We start from the raw sequence: 26,368 nt of genomic DNA, 5'->3' as shown, positions 1-26,368 counted from the left end.
TGGGATATAATCTCGTGGTGCGCCGTTTTTTAAGCCTGTCTGAAAAGCGCAATATTCGGGTGGGAGTGACCCGATTTTCCAGGTGCTTCCGTCACCACTTTCTTTGACTCGCAAAGGGACCTCCCTGACCCCTTGCGCTTCCCAAGTGAGGCAATGCCTCGCCCTGCTTCGGCTCGCGCATGGTGCGCGCACCCACTGGCCTGCGCCCACTGTCTGGCACTCCCTAGTGAGATGAACCCGGTACCTCAGATGGAAATGCAGAAATCACCCGTCTTCTGTGTCACTCATGCTGGGAGCTGTAGACCGGAGCTGTTCCTATTCGGCCATCTTGGCTCCTCCTCTTTGCCCACTTTTTAATGAGTTTTTTTTTTTCTTGCTGATTTGTTTGAGTTCCTTGTAGATTCTGGATGCTAGTCCTTTGACAGATGCATGGTTTTTGAATATTTTCTCCCACTCTGTGGGTTTTCTGTTTACTCTGATGATTATTTCTTTTGCTGTACAGAAGTTTTTTAATTTAAATAGATCCCATTTATTTATTTTTGTTTTTGCTGCACTTGCTTTTGGGGTCTTAGGAATACTTTGCCTAAGCCAATATCCAGAAGAGTTTTTCCAATGTTATCTTCCAGGATTTTTATGGTTTCAGGTTTTAGATTTAAGTCTTTCATCTATCTTGAGTTGATTTTTTATGAGAGATGGGGATCCATTGTCATTCTGCTTTGCCAAAGATCAGTTGGCAGTAAATATTTGGCTTTACTTCTGGGTTCTTTATTCTGTTCCAGTGGTCTAAGTGCCTATTTTTACATCAGTACCATGCTGTTTGGGTAACTATAGCCCTGTAGTATAATTTGAAGTCCTGTAATGCGATACCTCCAGATGTGTTCTTTTTGCTTAGTCTTGCTTTGGCTATGCGGGCTCTTTTTTTGTTCCATATGAATTTTAGGATTTTTTTTCTAGTTCTGTGAAAAAATGATGATGGTATTTTGATGGAAATTGCATTGAATGTGTAGATTGCTTTGGGCAGTATGATCATTTTCACAATATCGATTCTTCCCGTCCATGAGCATGGGATGTGTTTCCATTTGTTTGTGTCATCTGTGATTTCTTTCAGCAGCGTTTTGTAGTTTTCCTTGTAGAGATCTTCTGCCTTCTTGGTTAAGTATATTCCTAGGTGTTTTATTTTTTTGCGGCTGTTGTAAAAGTGATTGAGTTGCTGATTTGGTTCTCAGCTTGGTCATTGTTGGTGTATAGTAGTGCTACTGATTTGTGTACATTGATTTGGTAACTGTAGACTTTACTGAATTCACTTATCAGATCCAGGGGCCTTTTGGATGCATCTTTAGGATTTTTTGTACGATCATATCATCAGTGAACAGCAACACTTTTACTTCCTCTTTTCCAATTTGGATGGCCTTTATTTCTTTCTCTTGTCTGATTAGTCTTGTGAGGACTTCCAGTACTATGTTGAATAGAAGTGGTAAAAGTTGCCTTGTTCTAGTTCTCAGGGGAAATCCTTTCAACTTTTCCCATTCAATATGATGTTGGCTGTGGGTTTGTCATATATGGCTTTTATTACTTTAAGGTAGTCCCTTCTGTGCCTGTGTTTTCTGCTTTTGGGATGTTGTATCAAAGTTTGCTTTCTGGGTAGTAACCTAATTAATATTTGTAAATAGACTTTGGGCATAAGAAAAAACTATTTTCTGTAGGGGACAAAGGTATTTTCTGTATAGCTCTATAGCTTTGATCTCCATAGCAGCACCTCGTTGTATTGCTGTTTAACGTGTTATGCTAATAGAGACTGTGAGTGGACTCAAAACGACCAGTGACAGCATCATACCAGATTCAAAAGACTATCTCAAATAACTGAGATGGTACTGAAGATGATGTACTCTGGAAAACAGTTGACTGAAAAAGTAGATGGAAGATGGCATCTGAGCTAGCCTGCGTGGGTCCGAATCCCAGTTCTGCCACTTATCAGTTGTGTGACCTTGAGCGAGTTATGTAATCTCCATTTGCCTCAGAAATTTCATCTTAGAAATGGAAGTAACAGTAGTACATACCTCAGAGGGAAAGCTGTTGTGCTTAGAGCAATGCTTTGCGTGTAGTAAATACATGTGTTTATTATTATGTTTTTTTTTTTTTTTTTGAGATGGAGTCTCTCTCTGTCACCCAGGCTGGAGTGCAGTGGCACGATCTCGGCTTACTGCAAGCTCTGCCTCCCAGGTTCACACCATTCTCCTGCCTCAGCCTCCCAAGCAGCTGGGACTACAGGCGCCTGCCACCACACCCGGCTAATTTTTTGTATTTTTAGTAGAGATGGGATTTCACCATGTTAGCCAGGATGGTCTCGATCTCCTGACCTTGTGATCCGCCCCCCTCGGCCTCCCAAAGTGCTGGGATTACAGGCGTGAGCCGCCGTGCCCAGCCTGTTATATCTTTTTTTTAAAAAAATAAAGGCTGATGTTGAAGGTGCATGTGGAAGGGTTTTGTTTCCTGAAAAACGAAAATGAATAAAAGCAAGAGTTCTAAGTCAGTGTATTTTCTGTCATTGGGATTTTGAACATTTTTATCTCTAAATTAATGTTATATGATGTGTGACAATTAAATGTCACATGTAGGCATTTGATTATGTCATCTAAGTGCCTGCATTTGCAATGTATAGTATTCAGATTGCCCAAAAAACTTTGTATTTTTGGATCTTCTGTTTGGAAAAATAGATGATTACCTTATATTTGAAGTCACATTTTCTCTACTCATTTAAAAAATAATGGTTCGTAAAGTTGTTTAGCAAGGTTGGAAACAGTTTGTAAAGTCAAAAAATCAGTATACAGTTTCATGTTACAAGGAAGTGCTTATAACTGCAAAAAAGTTAAAAACAATACCTGATACTAGAAGGTTGATTAAGTTATGCTACATTGACACAGTGGTATAATACGGAGCTGTGAAAGAATAATGGCTTGTATCTGTATTAATTGCACGGAAACCTTCATTTCAATGTATGTGGCTAACTTTTTTCCCTAGTTTCCAGTTTTTTTTTTGGTAATATCAGCCTTGTGTTGCATTTGTCTGTTGATGTCTCTATATTGTGCACTAAATTATACACCACTTTAGGCCAGGGAATGAGTAATATATTTCTTATATCCCCAGCATTGGTACACAGATGATTTGTAGTAGGAACTTAATAACGAACAAATGTCTATTGTGTGTTGGATTGTGTCTGAGTTGGATGTTTGTCCTTGTTTTAGGAATGCTAACTATGAAATAAAACAATGATAAATATGCTATCTACAATTTTTTCTTTACTATGGAACCAAAATATTCCATGTTATCATGTGATATTGTTAAAATTATTATCAGACTTTCTCTGTGTGTACTTTGAAGAAAAACAGTAATAGCAAAATTAGGCTGGTTTAGGAAGGATTTAATTTAAATATAAGGAGATTTCTCAGGGACAGTACTCAAATAGTAGAGTAGGTTAAGGAAGGAAAATATAGAATTGGTTTCTCTAGAACATGCAGAAATTACCTTTAGTTAGCAATTTTTGCATACCTTTACCTACATTTCATAATGTTGCAGCCTTCTTCACCTTTTTAGACATGCTTAACTTTTTCTGTTGTTTTGGATATAAAAAATAAATAATATATAAATATGAAGTTGTTAAAAAAACAGAATTATAATAGACATGTACATTTTTAATGTTTGTAATATAACCCTTTGGTAAGTGACTAAGTGACTAATATGAAATTTATTTTCAAATTAGTATTTCTTGCTAATATGAAATTTCATGCTAATATGAAATTTATTTTCCTATTTTCCATTTCCCTAGAGATGGAAAAAATTAATAATTCCGATGTATAGGAATATAAGAGGCAGCTTCTCTATTCTTTAGACTTTTCTTTTGTCTTTTAGCTTTGTACTGCTGGGTGATGCTTTTCTTGCCTTGGCCAAGTAGAGCCAAGTAAAATTTGCTGAATCCCCTAAATTATTTACAAGTCATAGGTTGTAGAGGTTCTTACTTTTTATAGAAGCAAGTACATTATCTCTGTTTTTTTCTCATCTCAGAAGAACGGAAATGAATTTACTTCTGTACTAAGATCTTTTATTAGACCACAGAAACTAAATTAAATTTTCCTTTTCCTAACATTTAATGTTTTCAGTTTCTCATTTAGTATTTGAACTTGACATACTCATATTGGAAAAAGCAAATACTGTCAAATCAATTGCCCACTTCTAGAATTCAATTTCCTTTCTAGCTTCAGGTTCTTGTTAAATGAAAAAAAACATACACTCAGTTTATGAGGACAGACTGTTCAGAAGCAAATTAGGATAATGTATTTTGGGAATTAAATAGAGCTGTGGAAAGCAGAAGTTGAATTTCTTATTTAAGCTTCTGTTGTTAGAATAATTCATTGAATGGAAATACCCCTAAACAAGACATCTATAATTTTTTTGATGATTGATTAAAATATGTTTTCTGTATGGTTTGAAGGTTTCATTTATCAAATGAGAGACATAACAGGTTTTTCATACTAGTAAAATCTAATCTCTTCAAGGAAAAAATTCTCTTCAGAAGGGAATTGTGGTTACATTTTACATTTTGAAGTCATTGGTTTTATTTATTCAGTCAAAACATTTAACTTGGTGAGGGTAAGAACAGGAGTTTATGGTTATGTTACCGATTATTCTAGATATTAATAGTTCAAATAGTCCTGTTCAGTGATAGGTATAAAAAAAAAGTTAAAGATTGAAAAGTCAGGTTACTAATCAATGAGGATGCAGTTGCTTTTTTGTTACTATTATTTGTAACTTTATCTCGCTCCTCTTTATTTCTCTTCATATCATGTAAGTTGGTTGGAGATCAGCTTATTAATCTTATTTAGAGAAAGGGTATGATTCAAGATGTGGTATAAACCAGAGTGAAAGAAAATTTCAGCAACTGAGGTGGACAAACAAAATATTTTAAGATGACAAATTTCTTGAAAGACCCAAATGAAATCTTTAATGCAATCTTTGATTTTCTGTGAATTTTAAGGAAAAAAATGGATAAGAATGTAAACAGAATAAATTTTAAAGGAAGTTCACCCCTTAAGAAGGGATTGAGGAAAAAAAAGATTAAAGATTTAAAACAAAGTAGAAATATCTTATATTCCCAGAAATGCTATTTTATCAAATTGTACAACAAATGAGCTGAGAAAGCTCAGTTACAAACATGAATCTGAAATATTTTCCTTATTGCTGGAACGCTGTCCTGATGTAATACAGTTGTAACATGGCCACTTTAGGAACAACATCTCCTAAACGTCTCCTATGGATGTGAATCGTAGCATGAAAGTAACAAGACCTGAGAAGCATTCTCATCATCTATTTTTAGATTTCTCCAGTAAGCAATATTTGCTATTCTTGAACTGTTTTTAGTGTAACCTGTTTTAGTCACTGTTGGCAAAAAGAATATTTGCATAATAGACTACAGACACAAGAATGATGTGGTGTTCTTTTTTTTTTTTTTTTTTAATCTTCAAAATGGCATGGTGTTTATTTGGGAACTCAATGGCTTTTATAATTATTTCTTCTATCCCTACCATGAAATCAGGTTGTTGAAAGTCCCATGTAATTGAGCAAATTGGTTTTCCATTATTGATGTAGGATGTTTTGTTAGTAATGATACAAATTTTGTTCTGAAATGTTGAAAAATACATTGTGTGTGCACGTGTGTGTGTGAAATATAAAAATCCTTTAATGCATATCAAGCCATCTACTCTGAACTAGGTTTTTAGAAGATCTTCAGGTTTAATCAAATTCTGCCTCTTAGACTTGAATTCAAACAAAATACTATACTATTCCTATTATTTCATAATCAAAACTAAAGCTAAGAAATTGTGCTTTTTAATTATTTTTTCTCACTAATTAAAATGGGATGGAATAGAAAAAAATTATTAATATTGTAATGTTACATACAAAAGTTATTTGAAGGCCGGGTGCAGTGGCTCATGTCTGTAATCCCAGCACTTTGGGAGGCAGAGATGGGCAGTTCGCTTGAGCTTACAAGTTCAAGACCAACCTGGTCAACATGGTGAAACCCCGACTCTGCAAAAAATACAAAAATTTGCCGGACATGGTGGCATATGCCTGTAGTCCCAGCTACTTGGGAGGCTGAGGTAAGAGAACTGCTTGCGCCTGGGAGATAGAGCCTGCAGTGGGCCAGGATCACATCATTGCAGTCCACCCTGGGCAATAGAGCTAGACCTTGTCCCTCCCCTGAGCCCCACAAAAAAAAAGTTGTTTGAAAAAGATGGTTTGGATCCTGAATATAAGTCTGTATATATAAAGTTTATAAAACATAATCTTTTGTATTTGTTGTATTTCTTTTGAAATGCAAAAGGTTTAGAAACAACCACTGATTTGTTCATTATATTATAAAATATTAATTTAAATACAGCTGCTTTTATGGGGGTATATGCGGAAGGATTTGAGTAAGAATGTCATTTTCAATTACTATTCGTTTAGCAAATATTTATTAAGTACTTATGATACTTTTATGTATGTGTATGTGTGTGCACATACACAGGATACACGTTCTCTGCCCTGTAAGAGCCTAATAGTTGTGTAGACAGGGTGTACATTTATGTTAGATAAGTACATGTTAACTAACAATGCAGCAAATGACCCAAAACAGTATATAATTAAGTTCTGAATAAGAAACACAGTCAAATGCTGTAGTTTCACAAGAGGGAAAGATCATTGGTGGATGCAAGAAAACTTCATAAAGGATTAACCTTAGTTTGGAGAAGTTGGATTTGGAGAGGTAGAGTCACTTAGGAGGCATTTAGTTAATGGGTGTAGGATAGGCAAAGGCAGAGAGTAAGAGAGAATGTTGTATTTGGAGAGTGGTAATTATAACAGCTATTAAGGGTGTCTATGTGCCAGGCACTGTAAAAGTGCTTTGCATATTTTAACTATAACAACTCTGTGAGATAGGTGCAGTTTTTAACTCCATTTTTGCTGAAGAGGAAGCCGAGGCAGTAAGAAATTAAATAAATTGCCCAAGATCATATAACTCTTTAGAAGGTAAAACTGGGCAACCAATCCAGTGCAACCTGACAACTCAGTTAAACCTGAGATTGAGTTGATGTTCTAGACTTGAGCTGTCTTATACTGTAGCCACTAGCCACATGTAGTTTTGAGCACTTGGAATGTGACTAGGAAAAACTGAGATGTGCTCTACATGTAAAACACACATCACCAGCCTGGGCAAAATGGCAAGGCTTCATCTCTACAAAAAAAGAGAAAAAAAATTAGCCAGGCTTGGTGATGCACACCTGTAGTCCCAGCTACTTGGGAGGCCAAGGTGGGAGGATCACTTGAGCCTAGGAGATCGAGGCTGCAGTGAGCTATAATTGCACCACTGCACTCCAATCTGGGTGACAGAGAGACCCCTTCTCAAAACTAAACTAAACTAAAAAAACACTCATCAGATTTTGAAGAGTATATATGAAAAATGAATGTAAAATATCTCACCAATAATTTTGCATTGATTATGCATTGAAACAATATTCTGGTTGTATTCTGATCAACTATATTATTAAGGTTAATTTCACCTGTTGTTTTTTTTTTTTTTACTTTTTAATATGGCTATTAGTTAATTTAAAATTACATAGGTAGCTCATGATATATTTCTATTAGACAGTGCTCTTCAAGATTGCATACCAGTGAATGAACAGTCCAACTGGAGTGAAAGAATAGAAGAGTGATGACAGGCAAAGGAAAACAATATTTAGGATTAAATTAGACCAGCACTTAGGTTTATCCTTTAGGTGATCCATGCATGCACCATCTGCCTCAAATTTTTAGGGTGGGAAAAGTTGTTAAATAGAGATTCCTGTATCCATTGCAGACCTCCTGAAACAGAATCTCTGAGAGTAGAGCCATCTCTAAAACTTCAGTCATCCCTAACTCATTATTTTAATTTCTTCATTGTAAAGGTTTTAAGGCCTACCCATCAAGGGGGGATCTGCAGGAGAAACTATAACGCTGGTTTTATGAAGACAATTAATGTGAATGCTGTTTTCTTAATTTTCTGACCAATTTTGTTAGATTGGACTACAGTAAAACGAAAGACATAGGCAGTTGATAACAGTGTCATTTACAGAATTGCTTTTTGGAGATTGGGTGGTTGCTACTTATTTAATAAATAGGGAAAGTAACTGTTTAAATTGCCGTATAATTTGTAGTCTAGTCTTTCACGGAAATGAGAGCCACATAGCTCTGGCTATGGGATTTGGTGATTGGTGGAATGTTTGGAATCTTTACACTGGATCTAGACTGTCCTAAAGAAGTTGGCTGTCCTGGTGTCCTTAATTCCATGATACCTTTTGTTAAATTGATTTGCCTTTTTAAGTTATACCAGAGCTTAGGGCTTTCAAATTACCCTGTCTTATAAAAGATATTGATCTATTTATTCTTCTAAGAAACAATCATGGTGAGCCATTTTTAGCTTTTTTGGAAGTAATTGATAATAAATTAGGCAAATCAGTCTTATTTCTTCATGATGACGTAGAGTTTGTGAACCTCAAGGCCTTATAGTAATATTCCATATTAACCTAAAACAGTACATAGTTCTCAAAGTTATGTTGAACATTGCTTTGGCTACCTACATTCTTGACCAATGATCAATTAAAAAATACTAATGATATTGATTAAAGAATACCATCCTTCTTGGAAAGGTTACCAGAAGGAAGTACCGTGCCTGAACAGAATTCTTTACATGAATGGCAATTTTATTAGACATTCATCAGCTATTTTCTCAATATATACCTTTTTTTTTTTTTCTAAAGAATGTGCTTGACCTGCTTGCCTAACCTGAAGGCGTAAGAAATAACTTTGGTAAAGTGCTGGGTTTCTAACACTTTTTAATAGCTGAAAATTGCTGTCCACTACCTCCTTGCAAATATTCTCAAATGATTTTCAATAGGACATAGGAGGCCACAAAAATTAAATCACTGGCACTGAGTAGAAATAGCCACAAGGGGCGGAGCGCAGTGTCTCATGCCTATAATCCCAGCACTTTGGGAGGCCGAGGTGGGCGGATCACGAGTTCAGGAGTTTGAGACCATCCTGGCCAACATGGTGAAACCCCCGTCTCTACTACAAATACAAAAATTAGCTGGGTGTGGTGGCACATGTCTGTAATCCCAGCTATTCGGGAAGCTGAGGCAGGAGACTCGCTTGAACCAGGGAGTTGGAGGTTGCAGTGAACCGAGATGGCACCACTGCACTCCAGCCTGGTGACAGAACAAGACTCCATGTCAAAATAAATAAATAAAAAATAAAAATAAATAGCCACAAGGGTATTGCCCCACTGGCAAAACATTTCCCATTTTTAAGGTGACTATAATTTGGAATGCATTCTCTCATAGTATTATAAATAGGCTTAGTCTTCTAGAGCAACCTACAAAAAATATCTTAAACTTAGCTGAATAATAGTGCTGTTTCACCTTCCTTTATCTTGACTTGGTTGGGAAAAATGTATTCCTATGATAATAGAAGATGCCCAATTAAATTCTCTTTCCTTTTTGTTGAAAGAAGCTTTCCAGTCAGGGGCATTGAGAATGGGTAAACCTTCATAAACCTAAATATCTTGTATAAAGTATTTCTCAAGGTCTTTCTTTTCTTGGAGGTTCTGAATTGTGGCATAGAGAGATACTGGGTCTCTGCAGGGGTAGGAAATCCAAATTACTGCTGTCTTCTATTTGCTTATATGAGTCATTTGTGAATTGAGTCAGGTACTTTTTATACCAATATGGAGGAGAAATAACACACTTTTTATAGTTTATTTTATACACATTCAACAGAGGTTATGTACACAAACTAAGCTCTTTGAAGGCTTATTTGCTTTTATATTTCCAGCACTTAGCACAGTTCCCAGAACATAAAAGATGTGTTTGTTGAATGCATGAATGATTACAGCCTTCCTGAAGAGTCTAAATTCTGCATGGTCTTTTCGAGATTGTGGTAATTTGATATATACATTATTTTTATAGCAATTTAAAAATTGAATCATGAACTTTATAGTAATAAGCTCTTTTAGATTCTTTGCTTTCTAATGTAAGAGATAATACATATTCTGAAACTTTAAATGGGATAGCCTTGTTGCCTGCCTTAAACTCACAATAAGACAATTGTTTCTGGTGCAATGGAAAAATTAGCAAAATAAAGAGATTGCTTAATTGAATTAAATCGCCAAAAAACAAGCTAATTTTCCAAGTTAAAAATATCTCTAAATTGCAATATCAAGGGAATGTTTCTATTTTTAAATAAGAACCTTCTTACTTTTGGCCTTAACTGTAAACTCCACTTTTCCCTAATCTTACCCTTCATGAGGCATAGTAGGAGTACATGTAGTCTAATACTTAGGAGCATGGGTTTTGGAACTCAGACCTGAACTCACACTGTACTCTGCCACTTACTCCTGTGTGATTTTGGTCGAACTACTTAAACTCTCCAAGAAATCTGTTTTCTCATTGTAAAATAGGGACAATAAAGGATCCTGTGATGTTTAAATGAACTAATAATGTCTATAAAGCATTTAGGCATACAGAAATGTTTAATACATGTTAGTCGTCATATACATTGCATCTTTCTGCCTCTTTCATTCATGTTGACTTTTTCCCCTAGCCTTTCTAGCTACTTTTTAAGGACTGAGTTTAAGTTAACTATTCATTGTATTTTTTTCCCCATCTCTTACTTTCTCATCCAAGTTCCCATTAGTAGTCCATTACTGCACTCACCATATATTATGGTTCCATGTTTGTCTGCCTTCTACAGTAGATCATGAATTCTTCAAGGGCAAGGAGTATGTTTGTACTTTTCTCAGCTCCTACTACAGGATTTGCCACATGGTGTTTAATAGAGTATTTGTTAAATTGCTAATTGACTTGTATATGGAACTCTTCTATAAATTGTGCAATGTTAATCAAATGATAGTGCTATTTTAGGACTTAATATATACCTATTAGGAAGTAATTATTTGGCATTTAAGTACAGAAGATTAGACTGTTACTACAAAGCTAATTGAACAATGACTCCAAGTACTAGACTATAACAAATTCTTTAATCATCTGTATGTAATTGATTTCAGCAACCTTTAAAACCTCGTATATAAGTGAATCTATTTGCTTCCTGCTGTAAGCCATCAGGATCAGTCCCATCTTTTAAATTGTTTTCCCCCCAGAATTTTAAAGCTGATTGCTTAAATATAATATTTTATTTAGCTAAACCTTGACCAGCATTGAGAACTTGGTATGTGTCAGGCACTGAGGACTTTAGTATGCTATCTGGTGTAAGTCCTTACAACAACCCTACCAGATAGAGGTAGTCATGTTTTCCATGCCTTTATGATTAAAAACTAAAGTTTAGATGGGTAATTTGCACTAGGTCACAGAGACAGTAAGTGCTAGATCAGGATTTGAACAAGCATTCAATACTTTATATGTATTACCTCAAGGCCGGGCGTGGTGATCCACGCCTGTAATCCCAACACTTTGGGAGGCCAAGGTGGGTGGATCACTTGAGGTCAGGAGTTCAAGACCAGCCTGGCCAATATGGTGAAACCCTGTCTCTAATAAAAATACAAAAATCAGCCGGGCGTGGTGGCAGGTGCCTGTAGTCCCAGCTACTCCAGAGACTGAGGCAGGAGAATGGCTTGAACGCGGGAGGCAGAGGTTGCAGTGAGCCAAGATTGCGCTATTGTACTCTAGCCTGGACAGCAGAGTGAGACTCCATCTCAAAAAAAAAACACATACACTTTATATGTATTGCCTCAAATTAAATTTTTAAAGATGATAAAGTTCAAATAAAACTTAGGCAGCGTGATTCTGGGGCCTAAAGTTTTATTTGTACTTTATTAATGCATACAAAGTATCTCATGCTTGTCTCAGAGTAGTTGTTCAAAAATGATAGCTTTTTCTCTTCTGATAAATTAAAAGATGACTATGTAAAAACCAGTCACCTGGACCTTGTAAGGGAACATACTGTCCAAACCTATCTGGGCTTTTACATTCCTTGTTGCATTGTTGTTGACCGTCTTATTTTCCTCTGAGAGGACGATCCAACATATAAGAAATCACAGAATATCAGAAAAGGGTGCAGAATAGTAGGTTTGTCTTGTTTCAAAATTCAGTTTTATTTTCCATTGATGATTAGTCTTATCAAAAAGCAAGTTACTTTTTTAAGACATCTGTGAAATTTTAGGTGTTTTTTTTATCACCGTGTATATTTGTCCAGTATCTTGAGTAATAAACATTTGTCATTTTTAGATTTTTAAAACGTCACCTTTGCAGCTTGATTTGAATGTGAATTAACTTGATGTCCAATATCTTAAGATCCAGATAACTCACACACAATTTCACTAATAACTTGCACACAATTTTGCTAATATATAAATTTAGAAATTCAGTAGGTCAAATATTTTCTGATTGTTATTACATATAGCAAAATCCTGGTATAACACAGTTTACCCTTATTTTCTTTCTTAATATCAGCATTATACAGGGGTTGGTTCTATGATGTTTAGAAAAAATGCTTTAAAGATATTTAAAGCCCTATATTTCATGCAAGCATTGTTCATCTTTTTAAAAACAGGTAAATCAACAGACTGGGAAGATGATGGTTGGGGAGCATGGGAAGAAAATGAACCACAAGAACCTGTAAGTCTTTACAAATATATGCATGTTTTTTGATAGTGGCATTTTCCTTTTGTAATGATGGTGACATATTTCCCTGTCAAGCTGACATTTTAAATTCGATGTCAAGAATATTTTTGTGCTTACTTATTAGTACTTAACTAGATACCTCTTCTTAAGGAACTTAATGACATTGTAGCTAAAGCGGGTGTCTTCGTTCACTTGGTGTTGCTATAACAGAATACCTGAGACTGGGTAGTTCATAATGAACAGAAATTGATTGGCTCACAGTTCTGGATGTTGGGAAGTCCAGGATCAGGGGCCAGCATCTGGCAAGAGCCTTCTTGCTGCATCATAATACGGTGAAGGTGATAGGACCAGAGGCTGGTGGAGAGGGTGGGAGGGAAGAAAACATGGGCCAATACTCCTCTTTTTATAACAAATTCACTCCCACAATAAGGAACCTACTCCCTCATTAACGTCCTTAATCTATTCACTCTGCTCTCATGACCTAATTACCTCTCATTAGGCCCCATTTCCCAACACTGTTGCATTGGGGATTAAACTTTCAACACATGTTTTTTGGGGGCACATTCAAACCATAGCAGTGGGCTAAATGGAGAATAATTGTTTTAGGATTCTTTATCTTTCATAAATTATTCTTTTATATTCTTTCACTATTCACTCAAATATTTGCTGTACCTACCATATTCTACGCATTTTTCTAGATGCTGGGAGTATAGCAAGGAACAAGGCAGACAAAGTTCCTATATATGTTAGTATATTTTCACATATGAGTAATAAAAAAATCTAACTTTAATTGGCTTAAATATGAAGAAAATTTATTCGCTTACATAGAAGGAAGTCCAAAGATAGAATGGAATCCTGGGTTGGTTGATCAGGCAATTCAAATATGTCAAGTTATTTCATTCTGTCTACTTTGTATATGCAGTGTTGGCTTCATCCTAATGCCTGTTTCATTCACAGATGTAGTGTGGACAACATGTTTCTTCATTAATGGGTAGAGGGAGAAAAAGACTTGGGCTTTTCATGACTCTTTCAGGAGTTAGGGAGCTACTTTCTTAGACGTCTCTAGCAAACTTTTCCTTATGTCTTCTTGGCCAGGATTGGGCCACATGCTCATTTCTGAACTAATCACTGGCAAGGGATATGAGATATTCATTGTTGAATCATATTATTCCCTGGAGTTAGAGGATAAGAGGGTCAGCTTCTCCTGAGGCCCATGGCCACACGGAAGGAGTTGATACCTGAACAAAATCAGGATTTTTTTTTTAAGAAAGAAGAATGAATATTAGATAGGTCTTCTTACAGTCCTATTTCTGGGAGCTTACACTCTATGAGAGGGAGACATAAAAAAGAAAGATGGATGAAAAATAATTCAAATGGTAATGTGATAGCAAGTGACTGCTATAGATTGGGTGGTTAAGGAAGTTTTTTCAGAGGCTGTGACAGTTAAACTGAGATCTAAAAGGCAACAGGGAGTCAACAACATGAGAATCTGACAGGATTCTAGGCCAGGGCAGCAGCTCATGCAAAGTCTCAAGGCAGGAATGGGCTTGAGAGTTTGAAGGGACATAAAGAAGGCCAGTGTGATGTAGCAGGACTGAGACTGTTCCAAGATGGGGCAGAGAAGAAAGCAGGCCAGATGTCAAGCTTTGTGAATTTGGTGTTTATTCTAAATGCAATGGAAAACCACACTTACCTGATTTCTGACTTTGACAGCTCACCTTGGCTGCTCTATGGAATAGGTTGAAGTAGGGAGCAAAAGTAGAAGCAGGAAGACCAATTACAAGGCTGTTGCAGTAGCTTAGTTGAGAGATGATTGTGGCTTTGATTAAGGTGGTATTAGTGAAGATGAGAAATGGATGAATTCTGGATAATTTTCAGAGGTAATGATAAGACTTTCCAGTGAGCTGGTTATGAAGGATGAGAGGAAGGTGATAAATCAATAATAAATTCTTTGATCTGGGGTGTGGTGTGAAATAGATAAAACACGATTGTTGAAAGGTTGATATTCTCAAAAGGTGAGTAATAGATGCCATTCTCTTTACTTTTGTTAATATTTTTAAATATCCATAATAAGAAGTTTTTAAAAAACCCTGCCAGATATTTGGCTTGAATAACTGGAGGGATGTTGTGTCATACCCAGTTGGGGAGGATGAGGAAAAGAACAGCTTTGGCAGAGAAATCAGAGAGCATCATGTGCTAAGAAGTAGAGATATGCTCATGTAATAGAGATGTATGGAAAAACTCCATGAGGAGATTAAGAACAGGAAACCATTTCAGAAGACCTCTAGGAGAATTAGGATGTGTTGAATAGGATAAAATGCAGCTCAGGGAATTTGGTTACTGCAGCACCTCCGCGAACAACACCTGGTCCTCTTTCTAATGCTATGTCAAAATGGAGCCTCAGCTATTCTGCTTTTCCTAAGACTGACTGGTTGCTGCTTACTCCGGATTTAAACTATTGCATGGCTTTTGCTATGTCTCTTGTTTGTGGTTGTCTTAGATTATTTCTCCTTCTTTGTTTCACATTCAGAGCTCATGTGAAGATTTTACTGAGTCTGTGGATTACAACCTAATATAGGATATTTGGGGAGGGGGACATACTGTTTACACCAGGCCACTTCATGGGACATCAGCAGCTATATTATTGCTGCCTCCTGGTCAGGCATTCATCAGCAGTTTAATTCGCTATGGCAAGAATGAGGAGGGGAGGGAAGGAAAGGAGGGGGTTTGTGTAAACAAGCTTGGAGATTCTTCATGATTCTAGGAAAGTAACCTTTCAGAAAGGGATGTGCTTGGAGAATTTCCCAGAAAGAGATAGTGTAAATGGCACTTACCTTACATGTGCTATTTGGTAGACTTTTAGTATTTGCTTTCTGAAATCATGTAGCTAAGTTACCACTATGAATAACGTAAGAGACTTCCAAGTAAGTTTGAGGTTTTCTGGAATAAACCTCACAGGCATTGCATACTAAAGTGGACACATGCATTTATAATTTCAGAAGAGGTTCCAGTGTGACAGTTATTATTACATATATAGAATAGTGCTGGTGCTGAGCTATAGTATAATATTTCAGACCCAGATGGCCACATCTTAATGAGCCCACTGATACATACTTGGCTTTTTCTGTAATGGATTTTTGTTAATATTTGTGAATGACATAGTTAGGCATTTGTGTGTGAGGCAAGTTGTCCTTAAAGATATCTACTAATTCTTCCCTGATAGTATTAATTGGGTTAGTTTAGTCATAATGTGCCACAGACTTGCTTTTTGGCTCATCTAAAATGTGCCTTCCTAAGGGTGTGCCGCTTTATGGCATTATAACCTAATGAGTAGAAAAGAAGGAAAATGTGCTATGCAATGGGGTCAGAGAAGCAAGTAGGCCTGATATAAGGCTTTATAAATTTGGAATTTATTCTAAACATGATCAGAAACCACATTATCTGATTTCTGGTTTTTCAAGCTCACCTTGGCTGCTCTGTGGAATAGATGCAGTTAGTTTTCCTTGTATTTTTTTCTTAATTAGCTATATTATTCTTTTATTTTCTTCTTAATTAGCTGTATTTCTCATACTCATGAGGGTCGTGTGCCTCTTTATTTTGCAGTATTTCATTTTGATGTGCCACTATTGCAGCTGATTCTGAGTGACGTGGACAATGATAGCATAGTTAGAATGCATAAGTGTTAACACATTTCCTTTATATCTGACCTGTAAAGCATGTCTTCTTTTTTCAGCAAGGATATACTAAATCTAGGGATAACCTAAATCGAGGGATCTCCAGGGATAAATGTAAGGATCTTTTAAACAATGTAGTTAAAAGCTGAAAGATGCTTCTACTCATTCTAAAAACACATAAAAATACTGACATGTAGAACATTTCTTCATTTGGATAAAATCGGAATATTTACAAATGGCCCTAATGGATGAGAGTAGCTTGGTGTTCTTTGTCTTGATAGATTTGCTCATACTGTGACTTGACAAACACAGCAAGTGAAAATTGTTGATAGACCTCATTCACAACCATTTTGGGTGTACCAATTATTTCTAGCTGTTCTTATTATCCATTTTTGAACCCCTGTACCTTGTCATGGGTCATGTGTACATGGTGAGGGAGAATGCATTTGGGTGACAGTAAAGGTAGGCAGGTACAATGAAGTTCAGAGGTTATCTAGTTGTTCAAGTTATCCTGGTTGTTCAAGAGAGCCTCTTTGAATTTGGATCCTTTCCTTAAAAGACATCTTTGCTAAAGGAGACTGGTGGGTGGGAACAAAAACGGCACTATGGTCAGGGTAAGGACTGTGACCTCTCCCTTGAACAGCAGCATCAACCAGAACTTTCCATATATAGCACTATTATGAAGTTTTGCTGAGCAAAATGTTTTATACCAGGACTATTAGAAATCTACTCAGCTGAAGTAAGAGACTCTTATTTCTACTACCATCTATGATTATGAACAACTCCAGAACTATAACCAGCTCCAGAGGCAAGAATTAGAATAAATTTTGGCAGATGTGTGAAATGTAAAAGTATATGCTCTAGTTGCCTAGTTAGAATGTAAAGGAGTGGAAAGAGAACCTTTTACTCTCTCTTATTAGGAACAGATACCAAGCTCAAAACCTACCTCCTCTGAGAGTCTGAGTCTTATCCACATTAAAGAAGGAACCAGGTTTGGAAGAAGTGGAATGTCTTGAAGTCAACTTACAGTGTGTCAAGGCGTTATAATTATAAAAACAATTATAGAGGCCAGGCGCGGTGGCTCACGCCTGTAATCCCAGCACTTTGGAAGGCTGAGGCGGTCAGATCACTTGAGGTCAGGAGTACGAGACCAGTCTGGCCAACGTGGCAAAACCCTGTCTCTAACTAAAAATACAAAAATTGGCCAGGTGTGTTGGCACATGCCTGTAATCCCAGCTACTTTGGAGACTAAGGGAGGAGAACTGCTTGAACCCGGGAGGCGGATGTTGCAGTGAGCCGAGATTACACCACTGCACTCCAGCCTGAGCAACAGAGTAAGACTCTGTCTCCAAACAAACAGACAAACAAACAAAAAACAATTATAGGATTCTCCACCAGTTGCCATTGGTTTGAGGTTATTATAACCAGAAGAGGGTAAACTTTTCTTCTGCATTAGTCGGGTGTTACGGAGATGGTGTGTTTTGCTCTTCAGGAGTGCTGCAGTAGTGTGTAGATAAGCCACAGGAGGGGAAGCAAAGAGGAAAGGAGCAGCAGCCACTGCCACAGAATGCTGACATGGAGGCCAACTGGCTGCTACTGAGTTCGGCAAAAACACTAAAAACTCCACAGTGCTTTTTATCTCCACGAGTGTGTTAGCTCTTTGAGAGTAGTTTCTTATTTTTATGGCAGAAAATGACTTTTATGTTCAGAGTGACAGTACTGGGATCTGGACAAGGCTTTTTTAGGAAAGGAGAAAGCCTCTTTTTTTCTGACTCTAGGTTGATTCTGATTCTGATTTATAGGTGTTAGCTATAATAATGGCTTAGTGAAGAAAGCATATTTTAATATACACTATCGGCCGTAGCCAACTATGTCCAAGGAAGTGTACATCTATGACACTGGTAGGCTTAGGAGCTTTAAATAGTTTCTGTGACAGAAGACCAACATCTTTCTGCTATAGCTATTTCATGTCTGTATTCATCTGCTCAGGCTGCCATAACAGTGTACCACACGCTAGGTGACTTAAACAACAAAAACTTATTTTTTCGCAGTTCTGGAGACTAGAAGTCTAAGATCAAGGTGCCATCGGGGCTGATTTCTGGTGAGGCCTTTCTTCCTGGCTTGCAGACAACTGCTTTCTTGCTGTGTCCTCATTTGGCCTTTCTTCTATGTACACATGCTGGGAGGGAAAGAGTGAGTTCTGGTGTCTCTTCCTCTTATGAGGACACCAGTCCTATCCAACTCTTATGAGCTCATTTGCATTTAACCTAAATTACCTCCTTAAAGGCCCTATGTCCAACCAAGTACAGTCACTTTAGGGTTAAGGCATCAACATATGAATTGGGGTGGGGGCAAGGGGACACAAGTCAGTACATTGGCAAGTGTACTGAATTGGGCAAGTGACAAAAGTAAGGTTAAGGAATTTCAACTTGCCTATAAGTAAATACAATAAGAGACTGAAAAGGCAAGCAGAACAAACTTTTAAAATGGATTGGGATAGAAGAAAGATGGATTGGGATAGAAGAAAAGGTAAAACAAAGATCTTCCTCTATACTAACTTGATTTTAAGTGACATGATGACAAGATAGTGGCTGGCTTGGGGACATTGGAAAAGAAGGTAGATGCCATCTGCTGACTGATGATCCTATAACAAATAGTAAATAGCTTTGCTGGTTTTTTTTTTTTTAAGAGTATTATAAAGGCTTTTAGTTGGTATTACAATTTTTTTGCTATGAGAAAGAAGTAATTAGAGGAGAATATTTTGTTCAGCCTTATGCTGTAAAGGGAATTGAGGCAGTTTGGGAAGAAGCTTGAAAGGCTTAATTTAATTTCATGGCAAGACTGATTTAATGGACTTTCCTTCATTGGTGTATTAAGGCCAATGGTAGGAAGTATAGACTTGGGGATTTGCTCAATAGTAAACAGCTAGTGGTTAATAGGTGGTAAATGGGTAGTGGTTACTGGATCAGGAATCACAGGAAGGTTCTGGGTCAAGGTCTTCAGTTAAGGTAGGCAGCATGGAAAATTTCCATTCAAAAGAGCCTTTGAAATGTGCTCCATCTGTTTTACAGAAACTGTTATAACAGTTTAGAGAGGCAATTATGATTTAGCAGATTAACAGGGTGCTGGTCAGATGGAGGCCCCAGAGAATTGTTTGTTTACAGGCTGAGAAGTGGAATATAGCACGACCTGATTGGAGATTCCTAGAACATTAATAATCTGGGATGATACTGGAAAATGTTTTGCCTTATTTCATTATTTTCAGTAGACTCTCATGCCACCTGCCACACAGGAGACATGAGCATCAGACTGACCAGAGGCGGAAGAAGAACACTTACACCATAAGGATATGCCCTAGGTTATCCTCTGAGGCTGGGCAAGGGTCTCCTCATTAGGCTGTTTCTTATTAGGACTTTGGACTTTGGATTGTTAGAAACACTCATTTTGCTGAAGATCTTCCTCTCTACATTAATACAAGCTTAGTCTAGCCTAGTGATTCTCAACCATGGGTGATTTTTGCCTCCTCAGTGGATATTTAGCAATGATTTGGCATCATCTAGAGACATTTTTGGCTTTCACAGCTTGAGGGGGGTGCATCTAGTGAGTAGAGGCCAATAATTCTGCTAAGCATCTTTCAATGCACAGAACAAAGGATTTTCTGGCCCCAGATGTCAATAGCGCTGATATTGAGAGACCTTGGTTTATTTAGCCCATGGCTCTTAATGTAACCCTCCCAGTCTGTCTTTTTTGCCTTTTCCCCATTTTGTTCTCCAAAACTTCTTGACCTTCAGAGCATTTGATCTATAAGATCATTAATTTAATTTTAGTAGAGTTTGGTGAAGTGATTTGCTGTTGTGAAAAGTGCAGCTAAGTAATTGCCAGGAAACAAAAGTTAATTTAAGTTCTTCTTGGATCTTTGGCCAGAGCAACAAGTTGTCTAGGCTTGGTCTCTGTGGCATTATTTATGCCTAAATGCTTAAGCTCCATGTAGTCAGCTGCACCTTTTCCTTTCTCTTGTTTATAACTGTTAATTTTAGTTCAAATCTGCGCTCCTTAGGCATTCCTGCAGAGTAGCTTCTGTTAAGTGAGTTTTGGTTTGGTGATTGGGGCCTCTGGTCTTCTACCAGGGATCTGGCTGGGTGGTGTGGGGAAAGGGAGCCTGGGACCTGACTACTGGTTAAACACACTTGCAACCAAGCCTCCTGCTTTTAGCCCCATCCATACCTTTACTTCTAGGGGGACCTGGTGCCAATTCCTAAGGCTGCTGGTGATTTTGCAATGCAACTAGGGCAGCTTCTCAGCTTTCTTCTCCATCAGTTTAGGAGTTAGCTTTCTAGGAACTGTAAACTCAGTGACCACCTGTTCCTTTGTTTTCTAGCTCTCACATTTTGTGCCTTTTCTCCTTGATTTTGTTCATTTGTTTTTTGGAGGAAAGTTTTTTTGTCCTTACTGGTTTTGCCTTTAAAAAGAATTCTTTTACTGTTGTTCTTACTGGTGCTAGGGAGACTGAGAGTAAAATTCATGTGTTTAATTTACCCTGTTTACCTAGAGACCAAATAGACTTTAATTTTACACATTATTCTACTCCTTGCTTTTTCTATTTAATGTAATTTGGAGGTTTTTCCATATATGTAAATTATTTCATTCTTTTCAAGGAATACTATTTTATTGTATAGCTGTACTGTGATTTATTTAATCACGCTTCTGCTGAAGGGCATCTAGTTTTCCTTTGCCCTTTTTCTTTTCTTTTTTCCTATAATGAGCAATGCTGCAATAAGTACCTTTATGTCTGCCATTCATCTTTGGTTTCATGTTGGCACATAGTGTCATAATTGAGAGTCCGACTGCCTGAATTTCTGTCCCAACTCTGCCACTTACTAATTATGAAACCCTGGGCAAGTTATTTAACTTTTCTAAGTTCAGTTACCTCATTTCTAAAGTGATATTGATAACAATACCAAACTCATAGTATTGCCATGAGGATTAAATGATATATGCTTAGAATAGTACCTGGAGCATAGTAAGTGCTCAATAAATGTTAGCTAGCCTTATTCCATCAGAATAAATTCAAAAGATATATACATTTTCCTCTTTTTTTTTTTTTTTTTTTTTTGAGATAGGGTCTTGCTTTGTCACCCAGGTTGGAGTGCAGTGGCACGATCATGGCTCACTTCAGCCTCGACCTCCCAGGCCTCTAATTTTTCAGTTTTTTTTTTTTTACAGATGGGGTCTTACCATGTTGCCCAGGCTGGATTTTACATTTTGACAGAAATTGTTGCATGGTGCTTCTAAAGGGCTAGCCAATTTGTATTCCAAATAGCAGTGTATGAGAGTACCTTTCTTTACTTGTTGTTTACAGAAATAAAAACAGCTCTGAGCCAGTTGCTTATTATCATTGGCTGTGTGCTATTGTTTTTTTTTTTTAAGTGAAATATTTCTCTCCACCCATGTTTTTAACAAATATTGTATTGGGAAACAAGACTGTGAGAGATGAATGCGCTTTTCTCTTGCTGTTCTCAGGTATTTGAAATTGTTGACTCCTAGTATGTTATCATACTTTAGTCTTTGCTAAACCAGATCAACGTAAAATGCCATTTCAGTGTTTTAATCTATATTTTAAATTAATGGGTAAAGTTTGTCATTCTTTCATATGTTTTTCACTTATAATTCTTTTGGGGAACGCATACCATTATCTTATTTTTTTTCTAAACTCCAATAGCAGTTTAAGGTTCATTGCACTTACTTTAGCTATTAAATCTATTCTGATTTATATTGAGTGAGAGTTATTTCTTATTTACTAGTATTGTTTATCCAACTAGATGATAGTTTCTGAGCAGGAATTTTTTTGTCACTTTCTTTTACTCCATGACACCTAGATTTAGTATGTAGTATTAAACAGTTGTGGTCAGACAAAGTGACATGTGCCTGCCTATAGTCCCACCTACTCAGGGGCTGAGGTGGGAGGATTGCTTGAGCCCAGGAGGTAGAGGCTGCAGTGAGCTGTGATTGCACCATTGCACTGCACTCCAGCCTGGGCGTCAGAGCGAGACGCTGACTCAAAAAAACAAAAACAAAACAAAGCAAATAAACAGTTGTTCAGGCAATAGAGAAGTATACATTTAGTTTTGGAGTTCCATTGTAATTGTTTATGAAATGAATTTTGTATGAGTAATAAAATACATTTGACACATGTTTATTATAGAAAATTCAAGTATTACAGAAAAATAAAAATAATAAAATAACCCATCCCTAACATCTAAAAATGATCATCATTATTAACTTTCAGGGGTTCTGCATGGCTCTACACAAATAAAGGGGTTTTTGGGGGTTTTTCTTTGGCACTATATGAATAGAAGGTTGAGTGGGCAGATGAATGGGCACAAAGAACATTTTATGAAAATGAGATCATATTATATATACAATTGAAGAATAAATGGCAGAATTAATCCTACTTGAATTGACAGTTGAAGTAAATAAGAGTTACTGAGTTAGAGTTAAGTTCCTCTAATGCTAGAAAGAAAGGTAATTTTTAAAATTGAGATTGAAGTTATAGTTTTTTTGTGATTAATTTATTTGTGAGAATTCCTTTGGGCCCCTTCAAATCAAATTTAGAAAGAGTTCATGTCTTTCCTTATGTTGAAAAGATCTCAGGATCTTTCATTTGAGAATTTTAGTCTCTGATCTGAAATGTGGCCTAGACTAGTACTTTTCATGCTATGTGTGAGAGAGCTCTAGGGTTCTACAGAGGTGCTGTGTAGCTTCCTCATTTGTGCTTTTATCTATTTCATATATTGAATTTTTGTAAAAAATTTTGTTTGGGAGTACAAAGTTCTGCTATCTAAAAAAAGAAAGTTTGAAAAATATTGAGCATTTTATAGTTAGTAGCAGAATAGAAAAAAAAAGAAAAAATCCTTAGTAACTAGTAATATAGTGATGTTTACTTTCTTTTTGTGTTTCAAAATTGCTGAAGCACTATGTGTCTTGCTTTAAAAGTATAGATGAATATTTTATTTCTATGGCTTAGGCAGAAAGCTGCTGAGAATTACAGAGAATGTGCTGACAGCCCTTAGATTACACTGGATCTTACTGGTACCACTAAAATGTGTAAATATCTGTGAAAGTTAGCAAAATGACAGTAACAACATAAATTGCAAATGATGGACTTATCGTACTAAAGTTGAAAGCTTTGAAAAACCACTCCTGGCTACTTCAGTGACTACGTAAGTACTACAATAGCTGAAAAACCAAAAAACACTGGCCACTGTGTTTACCCAGTAATTACCAGTCCCTATAATGCCAGCTATAGTTGAAAGACTGATTTAATTACTACAATTTTATTGTCTGCCTGCATTGTGTGCTTAAAATCAAAAGAAAGAAAATTTTTAAAGTATATGCTCTATCCCATATTGCGTTGTTTAGAAAGAATTCCTTTCCATAATGCACATTAGTGGCTTCTGTATTTTTGTAGATTAAGAAAACTTTTTTACTGGTCTTAATTCAAAAAAAATTCTTGAAGTTTAGGCCATACTAAAATATAATTATAGATTCCCTCCCCTCAACAACTAGGATTATGTTTTATAGGTGCATTCATTCATTCATTCATTTTTGCCTTTATAAAAGCAAGTTTTATTGTTATTTACCATAGTAGTGTCAGAAAGAGGAACAGATTAGCTCAGTCCAACATGATTGGCAGCTGGCAAAATCTAGTGAAGCAGGTGTTCTGATTGCTTTAATTTGGGGGATTTAATTTGGTTGCTTTTAATACTTAGCCATCTAACACTTCAAACGTAATGCAGAATAAATATTTCATCTCCTTCCTTTTTACTTTAACACCACACCCACCTCACTTCAATATGGAAATATCTTCATTAAATATGATTTCCAAAAGAACAAGTTCCCTGGAGAATATAGCCATGAGGACAGTGCATAAAAAGAAAAACTCGAAATAAAACCCTGTATGATAATTTTCTATTCTAAGAAAACAAAAGTTTCCAGTATATGAAGAAATAAACCCAGTCTCAGATGCACTAATATGTCTGTGAGAAGCGGTTGTGGTATAATAACTGAAAACTGCCAGCTATTTTCAAGATACTCAAGTGGTAATGGTGCACCTAGCCCAGCAGCAGCCCTCAGAAGAAGCCAGGGTGCTCTCTCCACGTAGGCCAGTGTGTTAGTCCATTTTCATGCTGCTGATAAAGACATACCTGAGACTGGGCAATTTACAAAAGAAAGAGGTTTATTGGACTTACACTTCCACGTGGCTGGGGAGGCCTCACAATCATGGTGGAAGGTGAAAGCCATGTCTCACATGGCGACAGACAAGAGAAGAGAGCTTGTGCAGGGAAACTCCCCTTTTTAAAACCATCGGAACTTGTGAGACTCATTCACTATCAGAACAGGGCAGGAGAGACCCACCTCCATAATTCAGTTACCTCCCACCGGCTTCTTCCCACAACACGTGGGAATTGTGGGAATTACAATTCAAAATGAAATTTGAGTGGGGACACAGCCAAACCATATCAGCCAGGTACAAAAAATCCATCTTCAGCTTTTGCCTCCTAAAGCTGTCCCATGGTTGGGCTGCACTGTCTTATCCACAAACGGGACAGAGGCCTTTTCAGCAGCAAGCTGGATCCTACTCGTGATGATGCACATGGACTGAGCCACTGGAATACCAGGTGGCACCAAGGACTTCTACTTATCAGGGTCAGCGGTCTGAGAGCCTGGACTTTTTCATAATTGCTGGAACTGGCTGGGCTATTTTGTGCGGATCTTCGGGGACTCCACTCACCTGCGTTCCAGGAGCGAGACTCTCTGAACACCCACTTCACAGTGGCAGGGAAGGGACGGGCTGGCTCTCAGAGCCATGGAGCTTAGCGCAGCCACCACAACGACGATGATGGGGGAGACTGCAGGCAAATTCAGTGTCAACTTTAGTAACAGGGTGGGGGAGGCAAGTTTTGGTGGAAAACCCAAGGTCCCTGGTGGAGCACCTTTAAGCAGTGAGGTGCTTTTTTTGTTTTACATTTCAGGCGTGGCTTGGGAAATTACCTTGTCAAATGATATTATTTTTGGATCACTAGCTTCAAAGGGGCAGTGTTAGAGACTGTGGGCCCCATTATTGGGGAAGTTTTCCAAAACGCTAATTAGTAGGCAAATGCCCTTATGACACAAAACAAAATGATGAGCTTGCATCTTGTCAGCCACTGAATGTGTGCTGATGCTCTATTAGGCTTCCCAGAGCATTGTTGTTTACAGCCCTATTTCTTGCCTGAGCTTTCTGGAACTGGCGCTGGAAATCATATTTTGTTGTAAAACCTAATACTAGCTCATTGTGATCCAGCCTAGAGAGGGCATTTCCTAATCTCCACTATACCAATATTTTCATCAAGTTATTTGTGCTTAGACTTGAGACTTCCCTGAAAAATCTGGCACTGGAGTCACTTCAGATGGACTCACACTCTTTATTCTTGGTTTGTATTTCTGCAGCCCTTCTGGAGCAATACTGTGGCAGTGTTGTACAGGATACATTAAAGCAGAGAGAGAGAGATATGAGAACATCGAGGGTCTAGTCTTTCTCATGGATTCTGACCCACAGGCCATTTCCTCATTCTTCCTCAGACCCCTGATTTTAGAAGTGAAGGACCAGAGTTCCTCTGTAAATTGTCCAGGGACTGTGTGAATGTATGTTGCTTTAAATGTATTATCTATAGTATTGGCATGGTTAGTGAAAATCCACTTATTCTTTTTAGAGCTTGATTTCTTTTCTGGAAAAGGAGGAATTTCACTCAAATGATCCCTGTAGTTCCTTCTGTTTCTGTTAAGATTGAATCATCCTGTCAGTTGGCTTCAAGAGGATTATGACATGTGTAAGAAGGAGATTGTTGATCTGTACAGACAAGCAGTTCTAGGATCTTTGCTTACATTGTCTTGCACTTAGTACTACAGTTTCTTAATTTGTAGATTTATTAAAAGAAATTTGATTTACCT

General features: G+C 37.2%; 1 protein-coding gene across 1 annotated transcript in view, besides 3 other annotated features; it reads left to right on the top strand.

The window, feature by feature from the left end:
• Positions 1-26,368, top strand: part of RAB3GAP2 (RAB3 GTPase activating non-catalytic protein subunit 2) — a 124,161-nt gene that overhangs the window by 26,957 nt on the left and 70,836 nt on the right. The window contains exon 2 of the mRNA NM_012414.4: positions 12,634-12,698. Within this exon, the coding sequence (NP_036546.2) occupies positions 12,634-12,698 (65 nt within the window). The remainder of the gene's footprint in view (positions 1-12,633; positions 12,699-26,368) is intronic.
• Positions 24,917-24,986: an enhancer, noted in NCBI's record as "active region_2556". NCBI's record gives its function as "activates an Ori minimal core promoter by ATAC-STARR-seq in GM12878 lymphoblastoid cells {active_cell/tissue: GM12878}" and the evidence as "EXISTENCE:reporter gene assay evidence [ECO:0000049][PMID:35858748]".
• Positions 25,347-25,396: an enhancer, noted in NCBI's record as "active region_2555". NCBI's record gives its function as "activates an Ori minimal core promoter by ATAC-STARR-seq in GM12878 lymphoblastoid cells {active_cell/tissue: GM12878}" and the evidence as "EXISTENCE:reporter gene assay evidence [ECO:0000049][PMID:35858748]".
• Positions 25,547-25,626: a silencer, noted in NCBI's record as "silent region_1824". NCBI's record gives its function as "represses an Ori minimal core promoter by ATAC-STARR-seq in GM12878 lymphoblastoid cells {active_cell/tissue: GM12878}" and the evidence as "EXISTENCE:reporter gene assay evidence [ECO:0000049][PMID:35858748]".

Source organism: Homo sapiens, chromosome 1, assembly GCF_000001405.40.
Source record: "Homo sapiens chromosome 1, GRCh38.p14 Primary Assembly".
NCBI lineage: Eukaryota > Metazoa > Chordata > Mammalia > Primates > Hominidae > Homo > Homo sapiens.
The sequence above is the reverse complement of the archived record's forward strand: the minus strand, read 5'-3'. Positions and strand labels throughout refer to the sequence as shown.